The sequence below is a fragment of the Homo sapiens genome, chromosome 3, assembly GCF_000001405.40.
Source record: "Homo sapiens chromosome 3, GRCh38.p14 Primary Assembly".
In the NCBI taxonomy this organism is placed as follows: Eukaryota; Metazoa; Chordata; class Mammalia; order Primates; family Hominidae; genus Homo; species Homo sapiens.
This window is the reverse complement of record NC_000003.12, coordinates 157,039,195-157,047,734: the sequence shown is the minus strand read 5'-3', so window position 1 is coordinate 157,047,734 and position 8,540 is coordinate 157,039,195. Positions and strand designations below refer to the sequence as shown.

Sequence of the window (8,540 nt, the reverse complement as noted above, 5' to 3'; positions counted from 1 at the left end):
CACCACTATGCCTGGCTAATTTTCATTATTATTTTTTGTAGAGACAAGGTCTCCTTATGTTGCCCAGGCTGATCTCAAACTCCTGGGCTCAAGCAATCTAAGTGCTGGGATTATAAGCATGGAGCCACCATGCCCAGCCAACATTTCTTAGATACACATTTATTTCCAAGTGTATAAGAAAAAAACAGTGAATCAAACTCATTATAGCTACTTCTCCTTGAGTCAAATTTACTTTTTACATAAATTTCCGGTTAAAAAATAAGTGCATTTAAGGAAAAATATAAACTACATATAGTGTAGGTGCTATTGACAAAGGTCATGATGGAGGCTTGGGAAGCTCCAGTGAGGTAGAAAGTCTGGGGTCAGGTGATTGTGGTTCTGGTTCTAGTTGTTACTAACTAGCTGTACTACCTTAGCCAAGTCACAATCTCTCTGGGCATCTATTCCTTATCTGTAAAATTACGGTTGGGGTGACTTCTAAGATCCACCCAGTGCCATTCTTCAATGATGTTGTGCTCTCTTGTCAAAGGCCATTACAAGGGATGCCAATCTTTGCAAAACAAAAGTAAGCATTCAACTCTTAACACAAGAGGCCATACTTAAACTAGTCAGGCAAATCAGTGGACCTAATGTGGAATTTTTTTGAGGTTAAGATACTCTATTAATAGAGTAGACTAATCTTTTGGAAGACTAGAAATCAATTTGATTTTGTTTAGTAACTTTACATCTTTTGCACATGGAAGGGATCCCAAACACCTTTGAATTCTCTGATCTTATTAAGATGGTCAAATAGCAGAGAATTTTATGTAGCATATTTTAAATGTGTTACTATTATTCTAATATGGGAATAGGAAGTCTGGATGTTCATGATGTAGTCAGATGGAGTATTTAAGTAAAGTTAGTTTTTGAAGGAAAATACACTTCTATTAGATGGAGAAAAACATAGATGAACACTAGACTAAGGCAAAGAGTTGTGTTTTAAGAAACAGGAAGTGTCTGCAGATTTAAAATAGAATAGATGATCTGGCTTCTGGTTTTACTTTTTCACTCTGAAAATAGAAAACATGTTAACCAGTTACCCATTTTCAGGGGTAATAAAATTTGAATCCCAAATTAGCTCTGTATAACTTTACTAAACTGTCTTGAATTAGTTCTTTTCCCAATGGTTCGAGAATACAAGGTCTAATAAAGACCTAACTCTGAGTACCAAAAAGCACTCATTGTAGAAAGTATCTATCAATATGATCAGGTTCTTTGTTTACTAAAATAATCTACATAATTTGAGAAATAAACTACCATTTCCTTGAATTGACATTACCATCTCTTTTTCTAGAAGGTCCCCAGCCACTCAGAGAAGATTGTCTTCCTGAAGGTTATCTATCATTAACTCTGAGCTAGCCTAAAGAGAAATTAGATTAACCAATTAGATTGTAAGGTGAGGAAAAGATGTTTTTGATTATGATGATGAGCTCTGCAACTACCTGAACTAAGCATTTTGGAGATTATCTAATTTTAATTAGATAAAGTACTTTTTTTTTCTGTTTGGAATACTTATTACATCGATTTAACCTATTCGGCTCAACAAACAAATGAACACATACCAACAAATCTCAAACAATCTATTTTTTTGTGGAAATATATCTGCTTGTAGTGGCGCAAGAAATTGAAAAGATGTTATGGGTGAAAAATTTTACCTGTGATCTCTAAAAGGCTATATTCATAGAGCACATTCCAACATAAACATAGAAATCGGACCTCTGGAATACCAACAACTTAATGATCTGTTACTCTATCAAAACCCTCTTGAAAAATAAGGCTTCACAATTTTCCAGCTTTTTACAGTCTTTTGTTAAATACATCTATAGGTATGCCTTCCTGATCTGTGAAAATAATTTTATCATTGTCATTCTCAGTTACAGTGAATTCCTGGCACTCTCTGAAAGAGCGTGCACGCTGTAGGGAGCTTCCTGCTCCTCATTTTGGATCATTGCTGACTCCGCCTTCTCCTAAGAATGGCAGCCAGTCTCTGTCTAGTCTCATTTGCTGAAGATGCTCCACCCCTGGGAGGATGTGGCTGGGGGAGAATGGGCACGCCTGATCTAACCCTCTTCGGCTTATCTGAGGTTGGGAAAGTGGTGGGTTTTGACACCCCGCGCAGGTTGGGAATTTGGATTCCTTTTTCAGAGTTCAGTCTTGCAAGGCTTCTCTCTCCATGATTACTGACTGCTGCAGCAGGGGAGGTTAGGCTGCCCTTGCTGAGGGAACACGGTGAGAATGGTAAACTTCCACGAAGCTTACTGAGCTCCAGGAGCTGTTCTCTGGCTTGACTCAAAGCCTCTGTCAGTTCAAAGCGTTCTTCACATTCTCTACGCACTGTCTCCTGAAGAAAAGTATTCTGAAAAGAGAGAGGGGAAAAGAAAGCAGACTTAGCTTTAAACAATGTACATAAGTAGATAGTTACGGACAATACAATTTGAGAACAGAACTGGAAATCAGAGGTCTGTATTCTTTGTCTCTATGACACTCTACCTCATGGGACAGACAAGTCAAGAACAGAAATAATCTGTGATGGTGGAAAGAAGTTGAAGAAAATATTTGGTTCAACCCTTGCAGTTTGCAGATGAGGAGTCAAGAACTACAGAGACTGAGTGACCTGTCCAGGGTTACTCAGATGTTAGTGGTGCGGCTGGAGTTAGAACTCAGGACTTCTTATACCTAACTTCAGTGGAGTTTCAACTTCTCTGCCTCAAGTCGCAGACAGTATGCTCTGCACATGTAATACTCAATAGTTAATAGCTGTAGAGTCATTAAATATATTCTTTTGTAGTGAAGGTATACTATAATAACATAAACAGGTAAAAGTGCTTGAAGTATAAGATTGAAAGAATAAAAAAATCAGCTATAGCGTTGAAACAATAAAATCAGTTCTCATATGATGCTTTCTCAGTGGAACTTAAATAAGAGGCTCATTTGCCATTCTGTAAGATAATATCCCAAAATAGAGAAGATCTTCTGCTACTAATTCTATTCATTCAGCAATCATTTACCAAGTTACTAGAAGCTGTAGTGAATACAGTCCCTGCCCTCAAGAAGTTTGTACCTTCGTAGGTTTGAGCAGAACTGCCTTTTATGTCCATAATAGAATCTAGACCCAAGGTGAAAACTGTGGGGATTAAAATAAGGAAGAACTTTTTAATAGATCTATCTGGAGGACACTCAAGGGTTGAATCTCACTTGACAGGGATGTACTGAAGCAAATTTAAGCTTCAAATGTGTGACTGGACTAGAGATAATTAAGTCTCTTCGAAATTCTGAAATTCTGCATTTCTAGTTGAGGTGTTACCTATGTTTTGTCTATGGAATTCATCAAAATTATTTCAAGTCCCATGGTAAGAATTAAGTCTTGGATCTCCCCAGTGTCCTGACATTCATGTCTTTATGATGTCAAAAATGAGGCTGAAAAGTAAATAATTCAAAGCAGTATCCTAGTAAGTAAACACAAGTAAAATGAGTGTGCTATAGGATTCATCAACTCAAAAATGAATTTCCATTAGGTTACCTTGTTTGTAAAAACAGCCAAGGCATTCCCAAGTCTGCTTCTTAGTGTAAAACATCCTCCCTAAGGGTTGACTGACTAATCTGCTGTCAGAAGAACTAAATAACAAAGCACCAGGGACAGTAGTATCTTCCTGTTTTTGAGTTTCTCATGATTATAGACAGAACTCTATTCAATTCCAAATTTGGTAATCAAAATGGAAAAATATGGAGCAATTCCAGATTAGCCAGTTGCACAGTAATTTTTTATAAAAGCTGCATTCCTGGGTCAAACAAATACTCATCATTTACATATACGATTTATTTACTACATGACACACATTTTAAAAAAATCATGGGTTAATCACTTGCTTCCAGTTATTTTTATTTTTTGGAGGAACTGGAGAGAGCAAGGATGGTGTTTGTGGCTTTATCACCTAGTTCTCATTAACTCTAGTGGAAACAGTTGTGGAAAAGGCAGGGGAGGAGGGAATAGAGAGGAAGATTAACAAGGCACCATGTTAGGTGTCATCTTATTTCCTGCTCCCAACAATTATATCTGACGAATAAAGACACTGAAGCTCACACTGTTATGTAACTTGCTGAGAGTAACTCCACTCTGAAGTAGTAGCCCTGCTCACTTTCAGAGACCTGCTCCATGCTGCCTATGCCTAAATTAGTTGTCTAATTCATTACGTCAAACATGCAGGGACCATTTTGTTCCCAGGACACTGAAAAAAAAAAAAAACACAGAAGGACATTTTCATCTGGTTTTGCCCAGGTTTTCTAAGTTCTATTAATCAAAGTTTCTTTTAAAGTGGGGGGAAGACCCAATCCATTATATTTTTTGCCTACTAGTAGAGTAAGCTGGCAACGTGTTGGAGTTATTAAAGTGGTGTATTAGTCCATTCTTGCATTGCTCTAAAGAAATACCTGAGACTGGGCAATTTATAAAGAAAAGAGATTCAACTGGCTCATGATTCTGCAGCCTGTACAGGAAGCTTAGCCACTTCTGCTTCTAGGGAGGCCTCAGGAAGCTTTTAGTCATGGTGGAAGGCAAAGGGATAATGATGCATCTTACATGGCGGGAGCAGGAGCAAGAGAGTTGGGGGGAGGCCCTACACACTTTAAACAACCAGATCTCATGAGAACTCATTCAGTATCACAAGAACAGCACCAACAGGATGGTGCTAAACCATTCATGAGAAACTGCCCCTATGATCCAAACACCTCCCACCAGGCCCCACCTCCAACACTGGGGATTACAATTTGACATGAGATTTGGGTGGGGACACAGATCCAAACCATATCAAGTGGCTTGGTTTTCAATAAATTAGTATAAAAATATCACTAATTAAGAAAGCAATGAGAAAGAGTTAATTTTATTTGAATATGTAAAAGAAATAAAGCAATGAAAAATGAGGCCAACATATTACTGACATGAATAACAGGCACAACAATATGGAATGATAAAGTGATGGAGGATGTGATGACAAGAGCTCTTCTTAAAAGAAAAATAAATTCAATCAATTTACTAAGATTAAATTCAAGTCTCAAAGGAAAGGAGTAATGATCTGGAGAAAACAACCAAAAAGCAAGTCACATAAAAGCTATTTCAGGCAAGTGACATTCCACTAAGGAGAACATGAAAAGGTAGAGTGAGCCAAAAGATGTCCTCATAGCAAGTTCAATGGGAGCAAATTCCTGGCAGACTCTAAGCTGAACTGTGCACCCATGCTTTATACCCAGTGAAGTCTGAATCAGTCATGGAAGGATCAGATTATAGTTTCCACCAACACTGACTAGACATATTACAAAGTAAGTGAATGGGGCCAGCCAGCGGGGTGGGGGAAGAGCTGCTGACTGCCTGGGGCCCGCTGCTCTGCAACTCATCTTTCTTCAAGGTTATTAGCTTGCAAGACAAAGGATTAATCCTCTTTCTTCTATTAGTTCCCAAACCAGGAGGACCCCTGAATTGAAAATAGGATCCAAAATTGATACTTCTATTCTTTTCTGTGCCAAAACATTATGAAATGTTAGGTGAACCTCACAATATCTTCATATCATCTGCCACCATTACCTCCTCCTCTAAAATTGAGATTATAACTCTGTTTTGTTCAATAGGCAATTCAGATTTATAATCTATTCAATTATGGGATTAAAAAATGAAAATAAAACAATGGAAATATAGGGGATTGCTATTTCAGGGGTGTAGTCTGATAAGGCATGACTAGAGGATATGTGGATGTGCCTAGAGTAAGTATACACATTAGTGGAAAATTCCATCATACGTGAAAAGAATCATCTGCTAGTGGTTAGTTTTCAGCAATTTAGTCAAGATGAAGGTTGGATTGTTGCAGAATTTTAATGTGTTTTCACTGAGCAACAAGGACAAATGTGCAAGATGAAATATGTTCAGTAAGACTGAAAATCATGCACAATATTCTATGTTTTAGATAAAATTATCTTTGGCCATATTTTAACATGGCAAAAATAGAATCATTGGATTGTAACTAGACTGGAAGTCAAAATGGAAAGGAAGGCATGAGCCAGGTGAAGAAGGGGCAATGAGGTTTTCAAGGCAGAGTGGGCAGTGAGAGAAGGAGAGGCACACCTTGGGATGAAATATGGCTTAATATGACTCAGGCAGGTGCACACGGGGAGGAGAGACCAGGACTGATATAGGGAAGAGTGAGCAGGGTCAGATCAAGAGAAAATTTATTAGTGTGCTAATACTAGGGTTTTGACTTAATCCTGAGGCTCATATGGAGTCATTGAAAGTTTATTTCAAGCAGATGGCTGGTATGATCAAATCTGCATGAAAGGAAGATCCCTTTGCCAGCTTTGTGGAAAACAGCCTGAAGTTGAGCAAGATGGGAGCCAGGGAGGACAGTAGGAGCCCCAAATTTTCATGGAGGAAGTCCTTATCTCAAGTGCCCCTTGGGTCAGGTGGTCTAGGCAGGGGAGAACTAGGCATTCCTGCATCCTTAAGTTCTGCTGATTGGTGGCGAGCATGATCTATAGATATCACTACAACATTTTCAGAATAAGCCCACCTTGAATGGGCTTAAAATATGACTTAATTGCCCTCCCCCTGAGAAGGAAAATGTCAAAATGAAAATATAAATTAGTTCACCATATGTTTGAAATTTCTAATATTAAAAAGTGGCCAATTTCCCCTACTCCTTGCAATATAAGAGTGGTTTATTTTTATATTTGTTTTCCTTTTTATTCTTAGAGGCAGCTGGGTTGCTTTAAATTTCAAAAACAGTGGAAGAAGGGAGAGAAGGTTTTACTGTGTAACTTGATTGTTCTGAAGGTAAGACTCCCATTTGCAACGGGAATCAGCTGTATTTGGCACAATTTTGGGGGGAACATGCCAGGAAAGCAAGTCCTCCTCAGTGAAGAACAATCACAGATAGATGGCTTTGTTCATGCTTTAGACCCAGTAAGATCTGAATCAGTCATGGAATGATCAGATTACAGTTTCCACCAGCCTTAACTGGATATATCCCAAGGTGAGTGGGTGGCTGTCCAGGTGGGTGGGGAGCTGAGGTAAAAGGAAATTCTGTGGAAAAGTGTGGAAACCAGAAAGATGAGTGGGAGTTAGCAAAGGATGTTCCCAGCTTCCATTCAAAGGCTTCCAGGCTTCTGTTCAACTAATCTGATCAGTCCAAAACACTGCCAAAAGTTAGTGGAAATGGCCTTTTGGTAAGAGAAGAATGAGAATCTGAAAAGATTTCCAGGAAACAAGTAAGATGGATGTCAGGCTGGTTGTTTTCAAAATTATATTTCCCTGCTTACAAACATAATAAAACCAACTGCAATAGACATACCCAAACAAAAGTTGTAGCAACAGAGGGCAATAATCCCTCAGACTGATATGCTTCAGAGGCAGATTTTCAGGACAGAGAGGAAGAGCCCATGATGACAAAGTATTCAACATTTACTTTTCTAAGTCAATAATCCAACTTAATTTAGATTTAATTAGCACTAATTAAACATACAAAATTTAACTAGCACTAATTAAATATACAAAAATTTCTCAATATATCTTCTCATTCTGTCAACTTTCTGGTATCTTCCTCACCACAGAGACTCCCAGTCTGAGCCCCCTTCTGCCCCATGGCCCAAGGCTAAGGTTCTCAGGTGGTCAGTTCACTCATCCTCCCTGCCAACCAAGCCTAGGTATAGTCCCTGTCCCTAAAAGCTTTCTTGATCCTCCCCATGTTTCCTGCTGGAGGTTGGAGAACCTCCCTTTACCCTCTTACTCTTTAAAAAAGACGTAAATATTCTAATTTATTATGTTCCCAAACTGAGAACTACTTTTTGGTAATTTACTTGCTGGTACTTTGGCTTCTCCATTCTCATAGAAGGAATTACCAGAGAAGTGTGTGCCATATTCTGTATACTGATTAAACATGCAAATGTAATAAATGCTTACCCTAAAACTAAGCAAGTCCCTCTTGCAAATAAACTATTTGTGCTTGCAAATACCATGTATTATTAAAATTTAATCTTAGAGTTTACATGAATCCGTCTTTGCTAGATTTGTTAATAAGCTTTTTTCTTTTCGTTTTTTGAGACAGGGTTTCAGGTTGTTGCCCAGGCTCGAGTACAGAAGCACGATCACGGCTCATTATAGCCTCAACCCCCGAGGCTCAAGCAGTCCTCCTTCCTCAGCTTCCCAAGTAGCTGGGACTACAGGCGTGTGCCACCATGCCCAGCTAATTTTTGTATTTTCTGTAAAAACAGGGTCTCCCTATGTTTCCCAGGCTGGTCTTGAACTCCAAGCTCAAGCAATCCTCCCATCTTGAGCTCCCAAAATGCTGGGTTATAGGCGTGAGCCACCACACTTGGCCTGAACTTTCTTATGTAAATGGAATTTCTTTCTTTCTTTTTTTAAAAATAGAGTTTACATTGGAAACATATTTTCAAAACACCAAAATGTTAAAAATAACCCATGATGCCAATGTTTTTAAAAAGTATGTAAGAAGTAAAACCCC

General features: G+C 38.5%; 1 protein-coding gene across 1 annotated transcript in view, besides 1 other annotated feature; it reads right to left on the bottom strand.

Moving 5' to 3' along the window:
- Positions 1-1,605: 1,605 nt before the first annotated feature.
- LEKR1 (leucine, glutamate and lysine rich 1) overlaps positions 1,606-8,540 on the bottom strand; it is a 219,777-nt gene continuing 212,842 nt past the window's right edge. The window contains exon 13 of the mRNA NM_001004316.3: positions 1,606-2,395. Coding sequence (NP_001004316.2) covers positions 1,985-2,395 — 411 coding nt within the window. The 3' untranslated portion in view covers positions 1,606-1,984. The remainder of the gene's footprint in view (positions 2,396-8,540) is intronic.
- Positions 5,283-5,450: a silencer, noted in NCBI's record as "fragment chr3:156760074-156760241 (GRCh37/hg19 assembly coordinates)". NCBI's record gives its function as "represses an EF-1alpha promoter that drives an FKBP-Casp9 reporter gene in an ReSE screen in phorbol 12-myristate 13-acetate-treated (for megakaryocytic differentiation) K562 erythroleukemia cells {active_cell/tissue: K562(+PMA)}" and the evidence as "EXISTENCE:reporter gene assay evidence [ECO:0000049][PMID:32094911]".